We start from the raw sequence: 26,706 nt of genomic DNA, 5'->3' as shown, positions 1-26,706 counted from the left end.
ATCCAGCCTGGCATCACTATGTCCCACCTCCACCTGAAGCTTCCCAGCGGCCTGGCAGAGTTGGGCTGTGGGCTGGGAAGGAATAACGCCAAGGTGAACGTCTATCTCTCTAGTAGCTGAATCCATCCCAGAACTCCCAGCTTACTAGGAGGGGATTTCCCATCTTTAATCATTCCTGAGCCAAAGGTTATACACAGGCCAGGTGCGGTGGCTCACACCTATAATCCCAGCACTTTGGGAAGCCGAGGCAGGTGGATCATTTGAGGTCAGGAGTTCGAGACCAGCCTGGCCAACATGGTAAAACCCCGTCTCTACTAAAAATACAAAAATCAGCCAGGCATGGTGGTGCACGCCTGTAATCCCAGCTACTCGGGAGGCTGAGGCAGGAGTATCGCATGAACCCGGGAGGCAGAGGTTGCAGTGAGCCAAGATGGCACCACTGCGCTCCAGCCTGGGCAACAGAACAAGACTCTGTCTCAAAACAAAGCAAAACAAAACAAAACAAAAAAACAAAGGTTATGCACAGCCTTAGGCAGCTTCCATTGTATATCTTTGGCCAAGACCTGTTGCTACCTACCTGGGCAGCCATGTTAGGTTGGCACAGGAAGCCAAGTGGCACAAATCCTCTGTACTTGCCCACATGTGAAAAAAGCAGTTTCTAGCACCTAGAGAGGCATCCGAGTAGAATCAAGTGACAACTGTGCTGACTTTGTAAGAATCAACTTTTTATTTATTATTTTGAGATGGATCTCGGCTCGCTGCAACCTCCGCCTCCCGGGTTCAAGCGATTCTCCTGCCTCAGCCTCCTGAGTAGCTGGGACTACAGGCACCCACCACCATGCCTGGCTAATTTTTTGCATTTTTAGTAGAGACAGGGTTTCACTATGTTGGCCAGGCTGGTCTCAAACTCCTGATCTCAAGTGATTCGCCTGCCTTGGCCTCCCAAAGTGCTGGGATTACAGGCATGAGCCACCGTGCCCCGCAGAGAATCAACTTTTAATAAGAATAGAAGAGCGCAAACAGGGGCCAGAGAGAGGCAGGACCCAGAGGCTCTTCACAGGGTGTGAAAACTCTGAGAAAAGAAATGACTGCATGAAAGCGGGGCGGGGGCGGGGTGGTGCTGAGGTCAAACAACAGGAGGAGATAGGCTGCCATGAGCAGAGAAGGGAGGGGAGGGCAGCCTCTGAGCAAGGAGGTGGGGAAGCAAATGCTGTAGCTGGATCGCCCAGGGGAACAGGGGATTGAAGTTGGGAGGAAGATCAAGTGTGAGCTAGGTCAGGTGGTTCAGTAAACCAAAGCCACAGACCCTGGGCACAGAACAGAGTTCCTTTTTCTCTCCCGAGCCTCTGAGGAATTCTGCTAGGTGTGGGCAACTCCTCAGAGGCACCCAAAAAACAAAGAGCTCCACAGCTCTTCCGAACTCAGAACAAGGTGCTGCTGTGAACAGCCTAAGCCCTGCGCCAGCTCCCTGTGGCTCCCGACTGGAGGAGGCATCAGGAGTTGACAACACAAGGTGCCCTGCCTGTCACTCTGGTTTCCCATGGCTGGAAACGAGGGCATCTCACACTCCTTGCTGGGATGAGAGGACCCCTGTGTATTTTCCCTGTGAGATATTCAAAGATGAGTCCAGCCTCTTTGCCAGCCCCATGCCTGGGAACAGCTTGTTATCCTATGAGTATCTTCCCCACAACTACCGACCCAGACCAATAGGTAAAGCCCAGCCTGTCACAATAATCCCAGTTTTTCATTGTTTTGTTTTGTTTTCAAGAAATAACCTTGAGTTTTCCTTGCTCCTACTCTCTGGTATAGCTGCCTAGAGAGAGGAATACTGGAAGCAGCCTAGGCTAATGGCCTTTTAGTGCAATTACAGATGTAGACAGCCAGCCAGTTTCACTAATGTTGTAGGGGCTGCGCGACCCAGGGGCACACGCTAACGCCACATCTCACTCTGCCCACATCACAAGGCAGGGCTTCCTGGCTTTCACAACGCACTGGGGTTTGTTGTTGTGTTTTTGTGGCTAGGTGCCTTACAATGTTCAAATGACAGTGATTTTCACAGGATCTTCCCACAGTGGTTTATATGTGCACCTGGGGTCTTGACCAAGGCTCATGCTTTTGCTATTAATTAAAAATCAAAGCTCCCTGAAGGAAATCTACTGATCCAGAAATTAAGATAAGCACAGTGAGATTTTTTTTTTTTTTTTTTTTTGAGACAGAGTCTCGCTCTGTTGCCCAGGCTGGAGTGCAGTGGCACCATCTCCACTCACTGCAAGCTCCGCCTCCCGGGTTCACGCCATTCTCCTGCCTCAGCCTCCTGAGTAGCTGGGACTACAGGCACCCGCCACCACGCTCGGCTAATTTTTTGTATTTTTAGTAGAGACGGGGTTTCACCATGTTCGCCAGGATGGTCTCAAACTCCTGACCTCAGGTGATCTGCCCGCCTCGGCCTCCCAAAGTGCTGGGATTACAGGCGTGAGCCACCACGCCCAGCCTGAGATTTTTTTTAAGCATAATTTCTCCTTCCACTTATCTATTTTCTAGCAGTCCTTCAAAAGGCTTTCCATGCCCATAGAATCCACTGAAGAGTTCCAGTGGGGATTTGAGAGGAAAAGAAGAGGAAAAACAATGACTCGTGCTAGAATGCTCAAGCCAATCATTGTGAGCTGCTAGTAGTTGCTAAGAACTGTTGTAGTTTGAAGATACAAATGGTAATGCTGCAACAACAAAAATAATTTTTTATTATTAAAAAATTAGGAAGTCAAATTGTCTCTATTTGCAGATGACATGATTGTACATTTAGAAAACCCCATCGTCTCAGTCCAAAATCTCCTTAAGCTGATAGGCAACTTCAGCAAAGTCTCAGGATACAAAATCTATGTGCAAAAATCACAAGCATTCCTATACACCATTAACAGACAAACAGAGAGCCAAATCATGAGTGAACTCCCATTCACAACTGCTACAAGGAGAATAAAATACCTAGGAATCCAACTTACAAGGGATGTGAAGGACCTCTTCAAGGAGAACTACAAACCACTGCTTGAGGAAATAAAAGAGGACACAAACAAATGGAAGAACATTCCATGCTCATGGATAGGAGGAATCAATATTGTGAAAATGACCATACTATAAAATACCAAAGTAATTTATAGATTCAATGCTAACCCCATCAAGCTACCACTGAATTTCTTCACAGAATTGGAAAAAACTACTTTAAACTTCATATGGAACCAAAAAAGAACCTGCATAGCCAAGATAATCCTAAGCAAAAAGAACAAAGCTGGAGGCATCACGCTACCTTACTTCAAACTATACTACAAGGCTACAGTAACCAAAACAGCATGGTACTGGTACCAAAACAGATATATAGACCAATGGAACAGAACAGAGGCCTCAGAAATAACACTACACATCTACAACCATCTGATCTTTCAACAAACCTGACAAAAACGAGCAATGGGGAAAGGATCCCCTATTTAATAAATGGTGTTGGGAAAACTGACTAGCCATATGCAGAAAGCTGAAACTGGATCCCTTCCTTACACCTTATACAAAAATTAACTCAAGATGGATTAAAGACTTATATGTTAGACCTAAAACTATAAAAACCTTAGAAGAAAACCTAGGCAATACCATTCAGGACATAGGGATGGGCAAAGACTTCATGACTAAAACACCAAAAGCAATGGCAACAAAAGCCAAAATAGACAAATGGGATCTAATTAAACTAAAGAGCTTCTGCACAGTGAAAGAAACCATCATTAGAGTTAACAGGCAACCTACAGAATGGGAGAAAATTTTTGCAATCTATCCATCTGACAAAGGGCTAATATCCAGAATCTACAAAGAACTTAAACAAATTTACAAGAAAAAACAAAACAAACAACCCCAACAAAAAATGGGTGAAGGATATGAACAGATACTTCTCAAAAGAAGACATTTATGCAGCCAACAGACACATGAAAAAATGCTCATCATCACTGGCCATCAGAGAAATGCAAATCAAAACCACAATGAGATACCATCTCACACCAGTTAGAATGGTGATCATTAAAAAGTCAGGAAACAACAGATGCTGGAGAGGATGTGGAGAAATAGGAACACTTTTACACTGTTGGGAGTGTAAACTAGTTCAACCATTGTGGAAGACAGTGATTCTTCAAGGATCTAGAACTAGAAGTAAGATTTGACCCAGCAATCCCATTACTGGGTATATACCCAAAGGATTAGAAATCATTCTACTATAAAGACACATGCATACACACATATGTTTACTGCAGCACTGTTCAAAATAGCAAAGTCTTGGAACCAACCCAAATGCCCATCAATGATAGACTGGATAAAGAAAATGTGGCACATATACACCGTGGAATACTATGCAGCCATAAAAAGGATGAGTTCCTGTCCTTTGCAGGGACATGGATGAAACTGGAAACCATCATTCTCAGCAAAGTAACACAAGAAGAAAAAGCCTAACACCACATGTTCTCACTCATAAGTGGGAGTTGAACAATGAGAACACATGGACGCAGGGCCAGGAACATCACACACCGAGGCCTGTTGGGGGGTGGGGGGCTAGCAGAGGAATGGAATTAGGAGAAATACCTAATGTAAATGATGAGTTGATGGGTATAGCATACCAACATGGCACATGTATACCTATGTAACAAACCTGCACGTTGTGCACATGTACCCCAGAACTTAAAGTATAATAAAAAAAAATAAAAAAAAAAAAATAAAATAAACATTTAGCCCTTAAAAAAAAAAACTGTGTGGTTGCAATGGCTCACGCCTATAATCCCAGCACTTTGGGAGACCACTTTGGAAAGGATTGCTTGAGGCCAGGAGTTTGAGACCAGCCTGAGCAACATGGAGAGACCCTGTCTCAAAAAAAAAAAAAAAAAAAAAAATGCTGGGTGTGGTGGTGCACACCTAGTCCCAGCTACTTGGGAGGCTGAGGCAGGAGCGCTTGAGCCCAAAAGTTCGAGGGTGCAGTGAGCTTTGATTGCCTACAGGCACACACTACCACAGCAGACTTAAAACAGTTTTTAAAAAGAATTATTGATGTCACGTAAGAGGTGTGTGTGTCAGAGATACCATCTTGAAGCTAGAGACTGCCTAAGCACTCTTAGCAACTTGGAATTTGGCCCATGTTTCAACTTTTCTCCCAGAGTAACTTCCGGCTTATACAGGGCAAAACTGGGTTAATGGTACAGGCATATTTTATTGCGACAGCTTGGCAGTTAGTGGTCTAGGACTAGGTAGCAATGTAGAGCAGCAAATTAAAAAGTGAAGTTTGATGTGACATAGAATGGGGAATTCTCCCTGCTTCTGCGAGCTCTTTCCGTAAATGCGGTATCCCTCGCTGAATTCATTTGGCAGAGCTGGTGTTGCAGACACTCCCACAGCCTCCAGGGTGGGCTCTCCCAAAAGACAGAGGGGGATGTCTGACTCCCAGGCCCATCCATAAACGCACACACAAGCAGCCCACTGTAAATGGAGGAACTTCTGGAGACCTTGCTCTCTCATCTTACATTTACAGTAAGGCCCTTGGGACTGAGTAAACAAAGCCAAATTTCCAAATGAATGGAAACTTACTCAGTGGACTTCCTTCATTTCCTGCGTGGCTGCCAGTACTTGGGCAGTGATGAGACCAGTCACAATTACTCTCCTCTGGTTAAAAAGGAAAGCAACTCTGCCTCCTGCCCCAATGTCCAAGGAAGGAGACGTCTTGAGCTGGCAAAATGTGGGTCAACCCATAGAGTGCCAACAGCTGAGGCCTGGATTGTGTGAGCTCAGTAGCAAGGCCAGCTCTCTCTTTTATGCCCTGGCAACATTTCAAGGTCTTTACTCAAACACCTGTCAGGTGCCTTGTATGTGCCAGGCACTGTGCTAGAAACTAGGGGGCATATACTAAGACAGTGTAAGTCCTGACTCTGCAAGAGGGCAGAGAATAGCCTGAGATGCAAGCATGAAACTCTTCCATACCAAAGGGTAGCTCAGTTGGCTGCCATGGCAGTAGCCACAGATCCAGTACAGAACCAGCCATGTTACCTAATGGACCTTGGGGTTGGACTTCCTTATTGCTCACTTCCATGGAACATTGTAGAACTATGGAGAGCTGGGGTCCTGGATCTGTCCTCAGCTGCACATTGAATGTGTGGCCATGAGTAAAATCCCTCAGCCTCCATGAGTCATAGGTTCCTTATCTATAAAAAGAGGGTAAAGGGCCAGGCACGGTGGCTCACACCTGTAATCCCAGCACTTTGGGGGGCCACCACACTCAGCTAATTTTTTAATTTCTTGTAGAGATGAAGTCTCACTATATTGCCCAGGGTGGTCCCAAATGCCTAAGCTTAAGTATTCCTCCCACTTCAGCCTCAAAAATTGCTGGGAATTTGGAGCCACCACACCCGTGCCAAATTATCTCTCTTCTTGCCCCTCTCGTAATGGGAATTCATGCTTACTTCCTCAGATAGCAAGCATGAGGAGTACAGATCCTCATGGTAGATTTTCACCTGAGTTAGCAGAGAGCTGAACTTACAGACTGAATAAGGGTATCTTCTTACATTTTCTCTCAGCCACAAATATGTCTGCCTCAGCACAAAGATGAAAAATTACACATTTTTAGCTCTTTCAGTGTTGTTTTGTTTTAGTGCTTATATTTAGGGGTGACTTAACACTGTCACAGTGTGTGATCTATTTTCCATCTCTGGGGCATAGGGTGCAGCTCAAAAGAAAGGTGTTTGCAGTTCCTAACAACATGATCCGACCATGATCTAACAACATGAGATTTAAAACAAGTACAACTTTATTTCTTTTTTTTTTTGAGACAGAGTTTCACTCTTGTCGTCCAGACTGGAGTGCGATGGCGCAATCTCGGCTCACCGCAACTTCCACCCGCTGGGTTCAAGCGATTCTCCTGTCTCAGCCTCCTGAGTAGCTGGGATTACAGGTGTGCACCACCATGCCCGGCTAATTTTGTATTTTTTAGTAGAGACGGGGTTTCTCCATGTTGGTCAGCCTGGTCTCAAACTCCCAACCTCAGGTGATCCACCCGCCTCGGCCTCCCAAAGTGCTGGGATTATAGGCATGAGCCACAGTGCCCGGCCTTACAACTTTAAATACTATAAATCATTTCTTCTTAACCATCAGGCCACAACTTATCCAAATGAATCTTTTCCTTCCAGAAATATCTGAAGGAAAAAAATTTAAAGTTGTTTTTAAAATATTCTGAAAAGGACTCATCCAAGAAAATTATTTTAAAGTTTGTCAAGTTGAAAGTACAAATTTAAGTGTATCTGTTAAAAGCAGTTGCTGGCCGGGCATGGTGGCTCACGCCTGTAATCCCAGCACTTTGGGAGGCCAAGACAGGCAGATCATTTGGGGTAAGGAGTTTGAGACCAGTCTGGCCAACACGGTGAAACCCCATCTGTACAAAAAATACAAAAAATTACCCAGGAATGGTAGTGCACGGCTATAATTCCAGCTACTTGGGAGGCTGAGGCAGGAGAATTGCATGAATCCAGGAAGCAGAGGTTGCAGAGAGCTGAGATCGTGCTACTGCACTCCAGCCTGGGTGACACAGTGAGACTCTGTCTCAAAAAAAAAAAAAAAAAAAAACGCAAAACAAAACAGTAGTTGCCTTATTTTATTCTTCCATATCATATACATCCCTACCTATTCTTAATACAGTGAGGTGAATACAGCAGGTCTTCAAATAATGTTATTTCATTCAACGTTGTTTCATTATAATGTCCATAAGAAGAAAAATGGATTCCTGGTTGAGGCCACTGTCTGTCTGGAGTTTGCACGTTCTCCCCATGTCTGTGTGACTTTTCTCCGGGTACTCCGGTTTCCCCCACATCTGACAGTTGTGAAAGTGAGTGAACTGGCATGTCTAGATGGTCCCAGTCAGGATGTAGGTGTGAGTGAGCCCTGTGATGGGATGGCGTCCTATCCAGGCTGGTGCTCCTCTTGGACCCTGAGCTGCCGGGAGATGCTCTAGCCACCTGTGACCCCAAACTGGAATAAGCGATGATCTTACTTGTTTTTATCATCTTTCTTAAATGTTTGTATAGCTCACATTTATTTCAGTATTTAAAATTAGAAGTGTTTTGGTCTTTTTTTAGACGTTTGGGCCTGGTGCAGTGGCTTACTCTTGTAATCCCAATACTTTGGGAGGCAGAGGAGAGAGGATCGCTTGAGGGCAGGAGTTTGAGACCAACCTGGGCAGTGGCTTACTCTTGTAATCCCAATACTTTGGGAGGCAGAGGAGAGAGGATCGCTTGAGGGCAGGAGTTTGAGACCAACCTGGGCAGCACAGTGAGACCTTATCTCTACAAAAAACTAAAAAATTAGCCAGATGTGGCTGTGTGAGCCTGTAGTCCTATCTACTCTGGAGGCTGAAATGGGAGAATCACCTGAGCCCAGAAGGTTGAGGCTGCAGTGAGCCGTGATCATGCCACTGCACTCCAGCCTGGGCAACAGAATGAGACGCCGTCTTAAAAAAAGAAATTTGGTAATGTTTTTGTTACCAGAAATATGTCGTAGCAACTTAATTCTTGTTTATATCAATTAGCCTAGGGTAAAATTAGTTTCATTATTCATCATTTCACTTAAAGTTGCAGTTTCTAAGAACCTAGCAACTACATTATATGAGGACTTACTATATTCAAAATATTCAACAATTGGTACAGCGAGTACACCCAGCCATCAAAACACACCTAGCCTAAATGTGGTACCAGGGCATGCTGGTTGAATACTGGGCAGAAAAACAGATAACAGGATTCACATGCCTTGTCTGGGGATATTTAAAGCTTAGTGCTACATGTGAAAGACAAGTTCTACCTTTGAGAACTCTCAATCCTAGACAACGTGATAACACTAGATGAACTGTGGCAGGGACAAGACCACTCAGGGAACAAACAGTTCCTAGCAAGAGTTCTTGCTGTCCAGCTGAGAAAAAGTAAAGGACTTAGGATATTCTCAGTTAGTAAAGATTTGTTTAAGGCCGGGTGCAGTGGCTCACACCTGTAATCCCAGCTCTTTGGGAGTCTAAGGTAGGCGGATCACCTGAGGTCAGGAATTGGAGACCAGCCTCGCTAACATGGCAAAACCCTGTCTCTATTAAAAATTAAAAAATTAGCCAGGGGTGGTGGTGGGTGCCTGTAATCCCAGCTCCTCGGGAGTCCGAGGCAGAAGAATTGCTTGAACCCTGGAAGCAGAGGTTACAGTGAGCCGAGGTCGCACTACTTCACTCCAGCCTGGGCGAAAGGGAAAGATTCCATCTCAAAAAAAAAAAAAAAAAAATTATTTAAGCTTCTTACCTCACCCATATTTTATAATTACAGCTGATAGCACTGGTTTTATGTTTGGCTTATTGTTTATTTGTTTGTTTCTGAGAGGGAGTCTCGACTTGTCACCCAGGCTGGAGTGCAGTGGTGTGATCTCAGCTCACTGCAACCTCCGCCTCCCGGGTTCAAGCAATTCTCTGCCTCAGCCCCCCGAGTAGCTGGGATTACAGGCGCCGGCCACCACGCCCTGCTAATTTTTTTGTATTTTTAGTAGAGATGGGGTTTCACCATCTTGGCCAGCCTGGTCATGAACTCCTGACCTTGTGATCCACCCACCTTGGCCTCCCAAAGTGTTGGGATTACAGGCGTGAGCTACCGTGCCCAGCCAATAGCACTGGTTTTCATACTATGGATACAAACATGACTATTCACCCATGGCCAAGTTTACCTAACATGAATAATGTCACTTAGCAATTTAGCCAAAACCCAGGGTTTTGCTTCTGTTTCTTGAATTATATTTGTGTAAACTTGCTCAATGGATCTAGCTGCATTTTGTGCCATTCCATGTCACTGCTCCTCACAATAAACCAGTCAGCTCCCCACTTGCTATTTCAAAAGACAAGTCCACGGAACTGCTCCTGACAGTCCTCCTTTGCCATGTGCCACTCCACATTGCCAGTATCACCCTCTCTTGTCTAGCCAAAATGATAGGCTCACCTATTTGGTGTTTTATATCTCTGACATTTCTGGGTTTTAAGACTTTAGTTCCCATTCACTACTTAGTTCTCTCCTGGCCTTATTTCAGGTTCTTCCTTCAGCTGGTTTCAGTCTATGTGCAGGAGGTTTAAGGGCCATTTCAATCCAGGATGATGACCAAGATTTAAACCAGGATTGTGCAGCCTTAGACTGAACATACACCAAAATACCCCCTATTCTTGTTGCTCTTTATCTCTGTTGCAAACTCAACATCAAGTCAAAGAGGACTTATTTTCCACAATCTCCACCTATGTGTATTTATGTCATCCCCTCAATGTTGTACCTCCTCATATTGTAATTATCTGTTCACACATAGGATTCCCCTTTAAGAATATGAAATCCTCAAGAGAGGGTCTGTACTTTGTGGATATTTTCCCCCATCACCTAACACCGAACCTGGTGTGTCATATAAATTATAAATGCAGATAGATGTAAGCACATGTGTTTATGAGAGAGATGCAAGTGACGATGGTACTTATTTTGTGCAAGTCATTCATTGATGATGGTGAACCCATAGATCTGGCTGACATTACCAAAAAAAAAAAAAAAAAAAAAAAAGCCAGGCACAGTGGCTCACGCCTATAATCCTAGCACTTTGGGAGACCAAGGCGGGTGGATTGCCTGAGGTCAGGAGTTTGAGACCAGTCTGGGCAACACGGTGAAACCCTGTCTCTACTAAAGTACAAAAACTTAGCGGGGCGTGGTGGCACACGCCTGTAATTCCAGCTACTCGGGAGGCTGAGACAGGAGAATCACTTGAACCTGAGAGGCGGAAGTTGCAGTGAGCTGAAATCGCGCCACTGCACTCTAGCCTGGGCAATAGAGCAAGACTCTGTCGCAAAAAAAAAAAAAAAAGTAGCTCATACTTCAAATAAGATTAGAGAACCAAAGTTTCTAATATAAAAGGAGACTAGCAGCAAAACTCCAGAATTAAGTTCCTTAGTAATGACACCTTGACACTATCAGAGACACATAACCATGTCAGACATAAGGACTCCAGTATTAACTGCATCCCAGAAGCAGCCTCAGCCTTTATCATGATCCTAAGAGCCACATAGAGACTATAAAATATTCAATGAAATTTATACCACCGACAAAAAATACATTAACTTGTTAGGCCATTTTAAAATTTAGTCCATATGTCCCTGAGGAATTTATTAACAGTTCATGACTAGAGAAGACTCCCAGGCACCAAGCCATTCCATTTTCTTTTTTTTTTTTCTTTGAGACAGAGTCTCTCTCTGTCCCCCAGGCTGGAGTACAGTGGTGCGATCTCAGCTCACTGCAATCTCCACCTCCCAGGTTCAAGCGATTCTCCTGCCTCAGCCTCCTGAGTAGCTGGGATTACAGGCGCCCACCACCACGCCTGGCTAATTTTTGTATTTTTAGTAGAGACGAGGTTTTGCCATGTTGCCTAGGCTGCTCTCGAACTCCTGGCCTCATGTGATCCGCCTGCCTTGGCCTCCCAAAGTGCTGCGATTACAGGTGTGAGCCACCGTGCAGCATCACCCTTACTCCTATCCTGTGCCCTGCAGCTATTTCTCACTCATCTTGGTCTTACCTTAATCAGGATCTCCATAAAGATGTATTATATTAAGCGGTTCTTATTATCCAATGGTGTTTTCTCCTATATCATTTTATGATTTCTTTTTGTACTTTAAAGTCTTCTTTTAAATTTAAGATGCTCTGCTTCCCAAGAATCCAGATTTTTGTACAAATTTAAAAGTGTACACTTAACCCCAAGGCCTGAAGCCCTTAACTTTAGGGCTCTACCTGTCTTGTCTATCTTTATAGATTGTTATCCTCCAGAATATAGTTTGAATAGGAGTCAGATATATGCATTGGCTGTGACTAATGGCTGTGTGGAATGCTACTCTAGTTAGATGGTGTTAGAAGGTCACTGCTGGGTAGAGGAGAGTCACATCTACATCTAGCCATGGTCAGATCAAAACTCATCACTAGGAAAGGTGCACTTTTTGACGAAGAGAACACTTCTTTGCTGTTAGCCATTGCTGCTTTTCTCACCTTCCTTTTAACCATTAGGTTACTTTACATACACCAAACAACATGTTTTAACCTAATTATAGCTATTGTATTAAGGGAAATTCCATGTAATTAAAGGGGAAATGTAGACCAAAAACTAGGGTAATATGCATACCTGGGAATATCCCTTGGAAGCTGCCCAAGCCAATTTTTAACCTTGATTCCATGAATCAAAATACAAAAAGCAGAGTGATTGGCATTTAGAAAGCACTGGGTAAATATTTATCCAGTGATTGCACAAATCCTTTTTTTACTTTAAAAATATCTCCACGTTTACTAATTAATTTGCATTAAATGAGGCATTCTTCTTCTTTTTTTTTTTTTTTAAACACAGGGTCTCCCTGTGTTGCTGACGCTGGAGTGCAGTGGCGCAATCATAGCTCACCGCAGCCCAGAACTCCTGGGCCCAAGCAATCCTCCTGCCTCAGCCTCCGGAAGTTCTGGGATTATAGATGTGAGCCACTGTGCCTGCCCAGCCAGCATTACTGCTTCTAAGGGGAAAAATCCTTGTGAACTTTAGAAATGTTGTATTCTGTATTAATAATTACCAGTTCTTGGCCAAGTGCAGTTGTTCACGCCTGTAATCCCAGCACTTTTGGAGGCTGAGACAGGTAGATTGCTTGAGGCCAGAAGTTTGAGACCAACCTGGCCAACACAGTGAAACCCTATCTCTACTGAAAAAAAATACAAAAATTAGCCAGGTGTAGTGGTGCACACCTGTAATCCCAGCTACCAGACACTAGAGTGGCTGAGGCACAATAATCGCTTGAACCCAGAAGGCAGAGGTTGCAGTGAGCTGAGATGGCACCACTGCACTGCGGCTTGGACAACAGAACAAGACCCTGTCTCAGACAAAAAAAAAAAAAACCACAAAAAACAAAAGCAAAAAAACAAAAAAAAAATTAGCAGACCTTGAAATATCAGAGTCCCACAAGAATGGCTTAAAAGGTCTATAAAGTTCTCTTGATATTCATATATAATCTCTATACCTGTGTCCAGTACAGGAGCCACGAGCCACATGTGGCTACTTAGCACTTGAAATGTGGCTAGTGCAACTAAGGACTGAACTTTAAATTGTATTTAAATTTAAGTAGCCAAATGTGGCTAGTGCCTTCCAATATTGGAAAGCATAGCTCTATAAAAATAGGATGAGAAAAACAAAATTTGAAACAGGAAAATGTTTAAAGGCATTCCTATAGTCCTTCACCATTTTTTCTCTTCCATGGGACAGTTTGTTCACTTGTCTTCCGACTTCCCTTACTGAGATCTTTTTTTTTTTTTTTGAGACAGAGTTTCGCTCTTGTTGCCCAGGCTAGAGTGCAATGGCATGATCTTGGCTCACCACAACCTCTGCCTCCTGGGTTCAAGCAATTCTCCTGCCTCACCCTCCCAAGTAGCTGGGATTACAGGCATGCACCACCATGCCCGGTTAATTTTGTATTTTTAGTAGAGACGGGGTTTCTCCATGTTGGTCAGGCTGGTCTCAAACTCCCGACCTCAGGTGATCCGCCTGCCTCAGCCTCCCAAAGTGCTGGGATTACAGGCGTGAGCCACCGTGCCTGGCCTTACTGAGATCATTTTTAAGTTTTATAGTTTTAATGATGGTAAATGCTGTTTCATCCACCGGTTCTTTGCTTTTGTGAGTCTTAATCTTGGCTGTGCCTCAGCCTCACCCCCAGAGATTCTATTCAGCAAGTCTGGGGAGGGGACTGGGCATCTGTGTTTTTTAAGCTCCACAGATGATTCTGATCTGCAGCCAGGCTTGGGAACAACTACTTTACACCAGAGACCCAAACCAGCAGCCCTTGGGCCAAACACACCCTCAAAACATATGTTCATCCCACACAGTGTTGTAAAATGTTTTGAATTAGATGCCAACTTCTGCACATTGTAATTTTTTATCCCAAAAAAAAAATGGTGTTGAGTAAAGGCTGCCCCCTTCAGATGCAGCATAAATTCTTTAATTCAATACTACTTGCCTACCTCATAAGGGCCCCGCTTCCCAATAGGCATTTGAGTTTGAGATCCCTTTCTTATTCCATGTCTATATAATACCTGCCAAAGCAGAAAGCAATTGCTTTATATCAATGCACTATTCCTAGGTATACGAACTGTTTCATCAATGGGACTGCCTAGAGTTATCTCGTCAGGGTGAGGAATATCACCCAACCATCATGTAAAACCCCTGAATAAATATGATGGAAGTCTCAAAAGGAGAATGGGTTATAATCCAGAATCATGAGACTACTCCTGTTCAGGGACAAATCATTATTTTCAGCAAAAATGTTGTCTCACTTTTTATTTTATTTATTTAGAGATGGAATTTTGCTCTTGCTGCCAAGGAGTGCAGTGGCATGATTTCTGCTCACTGCAACCTCCACCTCCCAGGTTCAAGTGATTCTCCTGCCTCGCCCTCCCAAGTAGCTGGGATTACAGGCATGCACCACCACGCCCGGTTAATTTTGTATTTTTAGTAGAGACGGAGTTTCTCCATGTTGGCCAGACTGGTCTTGAACTCTTGACCTCAAGTGATCTGCCCACCTCAGCCTCCCAAAGTCCTGGGATTACAGGCGTGAGCCACCACACCTGGCTATTTTCTTATACTCCAAACTCTCTTACATAAAGTACTGTAAGGCCAGCCAATAAGACTGTCAGGAAGGGTATCTTTGTTACATATTTTATTCCCATTTTGCGGAAAAAAAAAAAAAAGCTTTTTCTAGTTTCTCATCCTTCACCCATGTTTTCCTTCAATATATTTATATTCAGCCATGGTTCTTAACATTAAAAAGAGCTGATCACATTTGTGTATCTTTCCTCTCTCTTGAGATTCCTCTGTAATGACAGCTAATGAATGAAAAGTATATAAGCCAAAATAATGAAATAAAAGGTACACAGGTCATCGGCTGAGGAAAACTTGATAGAGGAGTGCTCATTGATTTAGAAGCAGAGGAAGGCATAGTGTTTGAGTATTTATGGGAACAATAGCTTTTTTCCCAGAAAAACTGCATGCATGCCAAACATTTTGCAATCAATTTTTGGAGTTTCCCAGCCTCTGTGTCCCATCTATTGATTCCTGGTTAAAAAACAAAAACAAAACACCACTAGCTTGAAAGAGGACACACTGTTTGACAGATAGTTTTACTGGATACAGTGCACCAAAATGTTAGCCACAGCTTTTTAAAGCGGGGCATACTTTTTAGATAAAATATTATAATAGATCTTTTGTGTCAATAAAGGGGAAAGCAGCCTGGCATACCATTAGGCTTTAAGTAAAATACAAGGAATAAATTGTCTCACTTCCAGGAGCAAGTTAAACTAAGCATCATCTAGAATTTGTGACTGAAGGCACAGTGGATTTCTCAGCATACAATAGATAAATCAATGGCATTTGAATTTTTAAACAAACCCTTAGAGACATCCACGACAGGGCTGAGACATTTCCTGAAATTGCGCTCATAGAAACAGTTGCTTGACACCTTAACCTGGTCTGTTCCACTAAGGCAGAGCTGACTCCTTTGCTCTTGAGTTTTTTTCCCTGAGTGGCAGTTGGTTCCCTCACTGAGGTGATAAATTAGGAGTCACCTTAAGGCATGAAACATGCAATATGAAACAATATTATTTGCTAAATGGAAATTCCTGCATTTCTGTTCTAATCTATTTCTACATATGACAGGCATCAAAGGTAAAGTGAATAATTTTTTTCTTCATAAGATGGCTTAACGTTTTCTATTTCAACCACTTTATATTACTGAGAATGTTTAGGCTTTTCACACTTCTTGATTCCCCCCCAAGTAATGCAACAGATATTTTTAGAATCTTCATATACCGATATTCTCCTTTTGTCCCCTGCAGAGGCTCTCTCAGCTCTGCTCAGGGCCCTGAGAGGATATCTCCCAGGCTTTCTTTTCTTTCTTTCTTTCTTTTTTTTTTTTTTTGAGACAGAGTCTCGCTCCTGTCACCCTGGCTGGAGTGCAGTGGTATGATCTCAGCTCACTGCAACCTCCGCCTGCCAGATTCAAGTGATTCTCTTGCCTCAGCCTCCCGAGTAGCTGGGATTACAGGTGCCCACCACCACGCCTGGCTAATTTTTGTATTTTTAATAGAGACAGGGTTTCACCATGTTGTCCAGGCTAGTCTTAACTCCTGACCTCAGGTGATCCGCCCACCTCAGCCTCCCAAAGTACTGGGATTACAGGCGTGAGCCACTGTGCCCAGCATCCCAGGCTTTCTTGACAACTGGCTTCCAGTAGCCAATGGGATACCCTAGCAGGAGATCAGAAGGTGGGAGAAGAGAAACATATGGGTTATTTGTTCCCCTCTTCCTCTCTGTTTTGGTGTTAGGCCTCTGATAGTAGTGACACCTCTCCACAACTATCGATTCTGCTGGATGGCACCTTCCCATCTCCAGCTCTCACCAGACTCCAGGAATTCTATTTCCTCCCCGCTGTCTCCTTTGCCCTTCATGTGGTCATGGCTACCCTTGCTTGCTAGCCTCTGGGTGTCTCCATAACCTTTGTTGGTTCCTTTATCCATATCTCTGAAAAAAATTCCCTTACTAAAGTCCTGTCTTTGGAACTAGTTGAAGTGAAGCCTGCTTTCTGCTGGGATCATGGCTGACACACTTCATCTCTCTTTATTTCAAACAAGTAAGACTAGTGAAGCAGAAAAAAGAGGGGAGAAAATGGCTTGAGGAAGAGAAAGGAACAGTGTGGTTTTAAAAGGCAACACTTAACAAGAAAACAATTGAGTAAAACCCATCAAAAAGAAAATGCTCTTTTCTTTGCAATGGACCCCCTAGTAAGATGTCACTCAGTAAAGTGGTCATCAACCTACTCTTTTGAGCTTTGCTTTTACCAAAGAAGTCCAGTCTTGATGAGCTTTATCACTCCTTGTCATCTTTTACTTGTTCATTTCAAAGCAAAAAGGGAACTTATATTGACTGAACATATTATATGTGCTCATAACTCTTGACAATACTTGAGGTGTTATGAATTGCGTTTTAAAGTGGAGGAAACTGAGGCTCTTGAGAGATCCAATAATTTGCTCCAAATCATATAACTAGCAGGTAGTAAAGCCAGAATGAATAACTTAGCATATATGCTTTCATACAGAATATTGCTTTCGTTAAAGTATTTCTCTTTGACTGCAATCTTAAGACACTATGGGCTTAAGACACTTAAGACACTATGGGCGCGGTGGCTCATGCTTATAATCCCAGCACTTTGGGAGGCCAAGGCGGGCAGATCATTTGAGGTCAGGAGTCTGAGATGAGCCTGACCAACATGGTGAAACCATGTCTCTACTAAAAATACAAAAAAAATTAGCCGGGTTTGATGGCACATGACTGTAGTCCCAGCTACTCGGGAGGATGAGGCAGGAGAATTGCTTGAACCCAGGAGACAAAGGTGGCAGTGAGCCAAGATTGTGCCACTGCACTCCAGCCTGGGAGACAGAGTGAGACTCTGTCTCAAAAAACAAAAACAAAAAACACGCTATGACCCTCTACAAAAAGATCTTATTGTTTCTAAATATTTTTGATGAAAAATAGTTGATCCACTTGTTTATTTTTTGTCTCTTTTGAGACTCCTCTGTAATGACAGCTAATGAAAGGAAAATATGTAAGCCCAAATGATGATATAAAGGGTAGAAGGGCTATCAGTTGATGAACACCAAAGGAGTGGTTGTTGATGTAGAGTGAGAGGTAGGCATATCTTAAAGGGTTTCCAGAGGAAATTATGGGCAAAAAGGAAGATTATTTGAGTGATAGAACCCTGAAGAACTTTGGGAGCAAAGAGTGGACATGCATTGGTGGACAAGAGTAAGAAGTGGGGCTGAAAACAGAACTGATGTAAAAACAGATATCTAGTGTCCCTGATTATCTGTACAAATGTACATATTTTTTAAAGCGAGGTATTGAACAGATAATTGGGAAGTCTAGGTTTGTTATTGTGGCTTGTCACTTTTTCTTCTTTGCTGTAGGATGATCAAGAAGAAACAAGACTATTATTCTTCCCATCTCTACCCCAACTCTCTCTTCCTCTCTCAGAAGGACAGCAGCAAGGTTATCTACCAGGTAGGCAAGAAATTACAGGTTCCTCCTCTAGAGAAATTAAATAGTCATAGAGAAAAGACCTCCACATTTTGGCCTTTGGGAGTTCCCTGAGATAATGGTCATTGCCCACACCTGATCACTCTCGACACACTTGTTCACAAACACAGCTCTCAGCTTTTTTTTTTTTTTTTTTTTTTTTTTTTTTTTGAGACAGAGTCTTGCTCTGTCGCCCAGGCTGGAGTGCAGTGGCACGATCTCGGCTCCACTTCCCGGGTTCATGCCACTCTCCCGCCTCAGCCTCCCGAGTAGCCGGGACCACAGGCGCCCGCCACCAAGCCCAGCCAATTCTTCTGTATTTTTAGCAGAGACAGGGCTTCACCATGTTAGCCAGGATGGTCTTGATCTCCTAACCTCGTGATCCGCCCGCCTCGGCCTCCCAAAGTGCTGGGATTACAGGCGTGAGCCACCGCGCCCGGCCAGCTCTCAGCTTTTCTGTGTCCCATTCTCAAATATAAATGAACTTAAGAGTATTCAAATAACAACAACAAAAACATCAGGAAAATAAAAATTAGACGGCAGAAATGAAAATCTCAATAGTAAAGTAGAGGGTATAGTTAGGGAATCCAAAACCAGAGCAAAGTGGCAAATAATTGGACAATAAGAGAGAAAACATAAGAAATTAGATGCTCAATCCAGGAAGCCTGACAACTAATTAATAGGAGTGCCAGAAAGAGAACAGAAAAGACTGGTGGAGAAAAGTATTAATAAAATAACGTAAGAGAATTTTTCAGAGCTGAAGAACATGAGCCTTTTCTCAAAAAGAACTTTTTGGTATCTAGCCCAATGAGTAAAAGACAAATGAACAAACAAACAAATATCCCACAAGGCCAGGCACGATGGCTCACGCCTGTAATCCCAGCACTTTGGGAAGCCAAGGCAGGAGGATTGCTTGAGCACAGGAGTTCGAGACCAGCCTGGGCAACATAGTGAAACCCTGTCTCTACAAAAAATACAAAAACTTAGCTAGGCGTGGTGGCACATTCCTGTAGTCCCAGCTACCCGGGAGGCTGAGGTAGACGAATCACCTGAGCCCAAGAGATCGAAGCTGCCATGGGCCATCCTCATGCCACTGCACTCCAGCCTTGGTGACAGAGTGAGACGCCGTCTCAAAAAAAAAAAAAAAAAAAAAATTCCCATCAAATAACATAAACCAGTGACAACAAAGGACTTATTATTACAAAATTTCAAACCCTAGGGATAAACAGAAGTCTCTAAAAGCTCTGGTAGGAGTGGAGAAATAGAGTGGAGACAGAAAACTAATGAATAGAAGATTGTGAATAAGAATGGCATCAAACTTCTCATGGAAATAGAAGGTAGAAGATAATGGAGATATACCTTCAAATTTCCAAGGGAAAGTTATTTTTTGTTTAACCAAGAATTACATATTTAGCCAAATTTGCTATCAAGTAAAAGGGTAGAAAAGAGACATTTTTACACATACAAGTCTTCAAAAAATGTACCTCCTGTGAAATTAAATAATTCAAACTTAAAGCTGTTGGACATTTGAATTATTCTGAGCTTCAAGTGGAGGGTGGCTATGTAGTCTGAGTCACGCAGCATGCAGCTGCAACTTCTGCCTTGTTTTCTTGTAAATGATTAAGAAGACCAAATGGCCTCAGACATGAGACCCCCTCAGATCACTACCTCCCTCATGGAGCAATAGAGTAATCTTCCTTGGGATGTAGCAATCTGTAACCAATCAAATTGCTCTCATATACGGAACGGTCTTGTAAGGAAAATGCTGTAATCTGCTAAAATTTCTCTGTTTCTGCCTATATAAGTGAAACCTTAACTTTTTTTTTTTTTTTTTTTTTGAGACAGAGTCTTGCTCTGTCGCCAGGCTGGATGGAGTTCAGTGGCGCGATCTTAGCTCACTGCAACCTCCACCTCCCAGGTTCAAGTGATTCTCCTGCCTCAGCCTCCCAAGTAGCTGGGACTACTAGTGCATGCCACCACACTAGGCTAATTTTTGTATTTTTAGTAGAGATGGGCTTTCACCATGTTGGACAGGATGGTCTCGATCTCTTGACCTCATGATCCACCCGCCTCGGCGTCCCAAAGTGCTGGGATTACAGGCTTGAGCCACCGCGCCTGGCCTGAAACCTTAACTTCTCCACTTTGGAATTCTGACCTTGTTTGTTTGTAGTCACTGGTTCCCGTGCGGCCATCCTCAAGGCTTGTGTTTGAATAGACTATGTACAAATTTATATTTTCTGTATCTCATTACTTAAGGTTGACATTTTGGCGACCATGATGGGACTTGAAGCAGAACTTCAGCAATCCTCATCGCTTTGTCAACAACTTGAGCCTTGGTACCAGCACAAATGATTTTCATTTTCCTGACTTCACAGGCTATGCAAATCTCTGGTAAGGCCCCTTTCAAGTTTGAGTTCTCCTGGATTGGTTGAGGATGCAGACTTTATTTGCATTACACACATTCCTAACTCAATGGGGTTGGAACTGAAGTTCTACAACAAGGTAGGAGTTTGGTTTGTTATTCTCTAGAGATTCTGATAATTGCAGATTTGTGATTTTCACTTTTCTCTGAGCTTAAGGTTTTATTTGGAACTACTGCTTGGAGTTTTCCAACCTTTTCTCTTGTACCAAATTTTGGTTAGGGAGAAAACAGTTTCTCTCTGAAAAGAGGAAGTGAATCTCTGTGGCTTAAGCGAAAATTTTATAAACTTTAGAGCTGGTCAGATTCTGAAGCTTGGTTCAATTGACAAATCTAAGCTTTTTTTTTTTTTTTTGAGTGACAATATTACAAAAGGCTCTCTATGAGGACAAGATAAGTCCTGAGGATAAGAGACATTGTCTTTCCCAGCCAAAAGGCACCTTTAGTGAGTAAGGTCTTGAGGGAGTGTTGGAGCTTATCGCTCATGACATAAACTGTTCTAAAGGGAATCCCTTCAGAAGAATATATGGGGAACTTTGCTTAATCCTGTGAGCACACATACAAGTTGATCACCTAGTGCCTTAAGCACTCAAGTCTCTTGGGACCACCAAGACACATAAACGAGAAGAACTGACTCCAGGGTGATACTTTGAAGAGCTATTCCCACAATCAGCACACTCAATCCAAAACACCTCCCACTAGGTCTTTTTGGTCATTCAAAAGTAAAGTCTAAATTCTGAGCAATCATACTTCTAAAACTGAGTCTTCTTCCTTATGGAGAGATCCACCCTTAGAAACATCAGCTAGATTCATTTTTAATATTTATGGCACTTTTATATGCAAATATTTAGAAAAATGGTCTCACATAACTCACAATGACCAAATGAGCCAAATTATAATGGCCAAATGGGGGTAACTTTTAAGTACCTAACCTAGTTTGCACACTCAATTAGAAAAAGCTGGCACTAAAATAAAATAAAGCAACTGGCAGATTGATTTTCAGTGGTACTTGGAAGCTTCAAAAGAGGTTCTGATAAAATCATTTCTTTGCAAGAAGAAAACAAAAGTGCCTAAAACAATTTTTTTTTTTTGAGACGGAGTCTCGCTCTGTTGCCCAGACTGGAGTGCAGTGGCGTGATCTCTGCTCACTGCAAACAAACTCTGCCTCCCGGGTTCCCGCCATTCTCCTGCCTCAGCCTCCCAAGTAGCTGGGACTACAGGTGCCCGCCACCGCGCCCGGCTAAATTTTTTGTATTTTTTAGTAGAGATGGGGTTTCACCGTGTTAGCCAGGATAGTCTCGATCTCCTGACCTTGTGATCAGCCCGCCTCGGCCTCCCAAAGTGCTGGGATTATAGGCGTGAGCCACCGCACCCGGCCCTAAAACAATTTTTAAATTGAAAAAGACTGCTGAAATTTCTCCTTCTTCAGCTCTTCTTTCTCTTTTGTCAAAACTTCTTTGTTTGGACTTACCTTCCCTCTCTCCTCACCCCTCCCTCCCTCCTTCCCTCTTCCTTTCCTCCTTTCCTCCTTTCCTCCCTTCCTCCCTTCCTTCCTTCCTTCACCTCTGCCTCCTCCTTCTGCTGTTCTGACTCCATTTTGGGAATACCCTATGTCTAGTAGAGGAGAATCTGCCTTGGTTTAAAGAATTCCTGGATCCTCTTCAGGACCGCTACTGGATTTGCTAGAGAATTTGTTTTGTTTTTGAGACAGGGTCTTGCTGTGTCACTCAGGCTGGAGTGCAGTGGTGTAATCTCGCTTCACTGCAACCTCCACCTCCTGGGCTCAAATGATCCTCCCACCTCAACCTACCAAGTAGCTGGGATTACAGGCATGCACCACGATGCCTGGTTAATTTGCTAGAGAATTTGTATATGTGCTGCCGAAGTGAGCACAATTTGCTAGAGAATTTGAATTAAACATTCACACTTATAATCCTAGATTTTCTGATTTATTTCAGTTGGTTCACATTTAGTGTTACAAAGTAAAGCCAGGCTGGGCATGTGGCTCACGCCTGTAATCCCAGCACTTTGGGAGGCTGAGGCAGGTGGTTCACGAGGTCAGGAGATCGAGACCATCCTGGCTAACATGATGAAACCCTGTCTCTACTAAAAATACAAAAAATTAGCCGGGCGTGGTCGTGGACGCCTGTAGTCTCAGCTACTCAGGAGGCTGAGGCAGGAGAATGGTGTGAACCTGGGAGGCAGAGCTTCCAGTGAGCAGAGATCGCTCCACTGCACTCCAGCCTGGGTGACAAAGCAAGACTCCGTCTCAAAAAAAAAAAAAAAAAAAAGAAATTAAAGCCGAAGATTAGATAGCAAAGGCAAGTTGGAGAAATCCTTTAGAGGATCATGAATGGGTCTGCAATACCGCCAAAGTTTTACTAGCCACTATTCCCTTTGGTTTCTAAAGATTGGAACAAAATACAACAATGCAAATAAAATATTGATAAGGCCGTAATGTCATACTATGAAAAATTTGAAAAACATTTAAATAATATTCAGGCTTATCAGAAGAAAGTTATACTAATCACCAAAATGATATTCTCCTTAACTCAAGCTTTGTAAGTGGATTAGGTGAAGAATTGGCAGTTATAACAAAAAGACAATGCCCTATTTGGGGTACCTCTCAAACTCATGATCTAGTTAATTTTGCTGATCAAATGTCCTGTACCCTAACCCAGAAATAAAAGGAAAGGGAAGTTAAGCAGGGAGGAAAAGCAAATAAGATCACGAGTTTACAATTAAAACAATTGTCCAACCAATTTGTAACCCCTAAACAGCCTAAAAAGTTCCCAAACTGACCCAATCCCCTGCTTTGCAATTACTGCAAAAAGCCTGAATATTTCAAAATGGATTGTAGAAAACTAAAATGGAAATGACAGCAACAGGTCAAAGAAAAAGAATAAGGATGCTCTGAGGAAACCAAATGGACCTTTTCTTACCTCCTTATAAATACCTTAGGGAAGGTTAGAATTAATTTAAATGGAGACCAAACACAAACTCTTAATGACACTGTGGCTACATTATCAGTGATATATCTCACCTTATTACGAGGTTACATTCCTCAGAGTAAAAAACCAATACAAATCATGGGTGAAACAAATACTCCTGTATCACTATATCAATTTCAACCTATAGTTTTTCAGTTAGCTCCCCTAGAGGGAACCTAACATGTCTTCCTCTCTGCCCCCTCAGCCTCCAACCGTCTGATAGGGAGAGATTTCCTAGAGTTATATAATACTCACATATCTTTCTTTCAAAAGGGGGGAGGCCGGGTCCGGTGACTCATGCCTGTACTCCCAGCACTTTGGGAGGCTGAGGCTGGCAAATCATGAGGTCAGGAGATTGAGACAGTCCTGGACAACGTGGTGAAACCCTGTCTCTACTAAAAATACAAAAATTAGCCAGACGTGGTGGCATGCGCCTGTAATCCCAGCTACTCAGGAGGCTGAGGCAGAAAAATCGCTTGAACCTGGGAAGGGGAGGTTGCAGTGAGCTGAGATCGTGCCACTGCACTCCAGCCTGGTGACAGAGCAAGATTCCATCTCAAACGAAAAGGAGGTGGGGATGTATTTAGAATTAGAAGATAAAATAGAATTATTAGGTCCAAAATTTTCTCAAATTCTGATGCTTTTAAATCACAACTAGCAATTAATATTGTCATGAAGGAAAGTAGATTGTTAAATAATGAAGAATTATGTAACAAGAGCTGTTAAAAATAGTACTTGAGTGCTTCCTTCAGCAGCTCATATAATAAAATTGGGATGACAGCGAAGATTAGCATGGCCCCTGCATGAAGATGATATGCAAATTCATGAAATGTTCCATATTTTATATTAATAAAAGTTTTTTTTAAAGATTAAAACTAGTACTTGATCAATTGTGGTCAAAATTCTCCACCAATATTGGAAAAATTATCTTAGCTGCCCCAATTAAAATTCAAATAAATCCATCAAAACCTTTTCCAAACCTTAAACAATATTCTCCAAGATCAGAGGCATAGGAAGGGATAAGACCTATTGGATTATATGAAAAGAGGGTTGATTATTTTTTATAGAAGCTCATACTCCAAACAGTAGAGGGTGGAGATTTGCACAGAATCTGAGGGCAATTAATAACATAGTAATTCCTCACATCCAATGGTTACCAAACCTGCATACGTGTTGACTGCCATCTCAACTGAAGGTGTGTTCTTTACTGTAAGAGACCTATGTAGCTCATTCTTCAGCATTCCTGTGGATAAAGATAATCAATTTCTCTTTACCTTCACTTGGGAAGATAGACAATACACATGAACAGTTATGCCTCAGGGATATACTGAGAGTACAACTTATTTTTCATAAATATTAATAGCAGACCTTTCAGATGTTGACTTCCTTAAGAAATGCACCTTGATACAGTATGGAGACAATTTACTTCTCTGCTCAGGAGATAAACAAACCTCCATAGAGGATGGAATTTATTTATTACAATGATTAGTTTCAAAGGAACACAAAGCCTCAAAGAAAAAACTTCAATTCTGTCAAAAACAAGTAAGATATTTAAGTTACCTAATATCAAAGGAAAGCCTCTTTATCAATTCAGCTAGAATAAAAGGAATATTGGGCTGGGTGCGTTGGCTCACACCTGTAATTCCAGCACTTTGGGAGGCCGAGGCAGGTGGATCACGAGGTCAGGAGTTCAAGACTCAGCCTGGCCAAGATGGTGAAACCCTGTCTCTACTAAAAATACAAAAATTAGCTGAGCGTGGTGGCAGGCACCTGTAATCCCAACTACTCGGGAGGCTGAGGCTTGCACCCAGGGGGCGGAGGTTGCAGTGAGCTGAGATTGCGCCACTGCACTCCAGCCTGGGTGACAGAGTGAGACTCCTTCTCAAAAAAAAAAAAAAAAAAAAAAGAATAAAAGGAATATTGGCCTTCCCTACCCCCAAAACTAAGAAACAACTGAGAGAATTTTGGGAGTTAACAGGATACTGAGGAAACTGAATTCCAAACTTCTCCTTAAAAACTCAACCTTTATATACTCTTTTTAAATAAGGTAAACTAGATCCCCTGGAATGAACAGAGGAAAATCAGTTCACATTGGAAATTTTTGTTTTTTTTTGAGACAGAGTCTTGCTGTTGCCCAGGCTGGAGGGCAGTGATGTGATCTCAGCTCACTGCAGCCTCCACCTCCTGGATTCAAGTGATTCTCCTGCTTCAGCCTCCCAGGTAGTTGGGATTACAAGTGCATGCCACCACACCTGGCTAATTTTTGTATTTTTAGTACAGATGGGGTTTCACCATGTTGGCCAGGCTGGTCTCAAACTCCTGACCTCGGGTGCTGGGATTACAGGGGTGAGCCACCACCCCTGGCTAACACTGGAAGAAATTTAAGAGTCTTATAGATGCCCCAGTGTTAGGTTATCTGAATTGTAACATTTCATTTTCATTGTTTGTTCATGAACTGCCTTAGGCATTCTGACTCAAAAACATGGAGATCAAAATAGACTTGTAGGATACTATAGTCAACAACTGGACCCCGCAGCTAAAGAACTGCAACCTTGCATGACAGCAATAACCGCTACTGTCCCTACAGCGACCAAACAAACAGTGATAGGATCTCCCCTCAGTCTTCATTCCACATTCTGTGGAAGCACTTCTCAACTTGCACCACATTTAACACTATTCAGTTAGTAGACTGGCTTCTCATAAAAAGTTCTTCTTTCTGCTCCCCAATCAATCTCCAGATGTAAAAGTCTAAATTTTTCTAAATTCAACTGCCCCTGCCTTCAGATGAAACACCATGATTGCATAATCTTAACCAACCAGCTCCTCTCCTAGGATGGACCTGCAAGAAACCCTCCTTACTAATGCTGATGTTATTTGGTTTGCGGATGGATCTTACTTAAAGGGTAGATCTGAAATTTACCATGCAGGTGATGCTATAGTATCCTTGACTGAGGAAATAGAAAATGCTTATCTTCCAGGAGAGACCTCAGCTCAAAAAGCAAAGTTAATAGCATTAATTAAAACCTGTCAATTGGCAAAAGGAACAACTGCTAATATATATATATACAAATAGCTGATAGGCTTTTAGAGTAGCTCATTACTTTGGAATGCTAT

The 26,706-nt window shown here is 42.8% G+C and overlaps 1 pseudogene, besides 1 other annotated feature; it reads left to right on the top strand.

The window, feature by feature from the left end:
- Positions 1,751–1,931: a silencer, noted in NCBI's record as "fragment chr5:31618177-31618357 (GRCh37/hg19 assembly coordinates)". NCBI's record gives its function as "represses an EF-1alpha promoter that drives an FKBP-Casp9 reporter gene in an ReSE screen in phorbol 12-myristate 13-acetate-treated (for megakaryocytic differentiation) K562 erythroleukemia cells {active_cell/tissue: K562(+PMA)}" and the evidence as "EXISTENCE:reporter gene assay evidence [ECO:0000049][PMID:32094911]".
- On the top strand, positions 24,332–24,436 carry RNU6-363P (RNA, U6 small nuclear 363, pseudogene; annotated as a pseudogene).

This window comes from Homo sapiens, chromosome 5 (assembly GCF_000001405.40).
Source record: "Homo sapiens chromosome 5, GRCh38.p14 Primary Assembly".
Classification (NCBI taxonomy): domain Eukaryota; kingdom Metazoa; phylum Chordata; class Mammalia; order Primates; family Hominidae; genus Homo; species Homo sapiens.
Note: the sequence above shows the minus strand (reverse complement) of the source record. Positions and strands in the feature narration are given on the sequence as shown.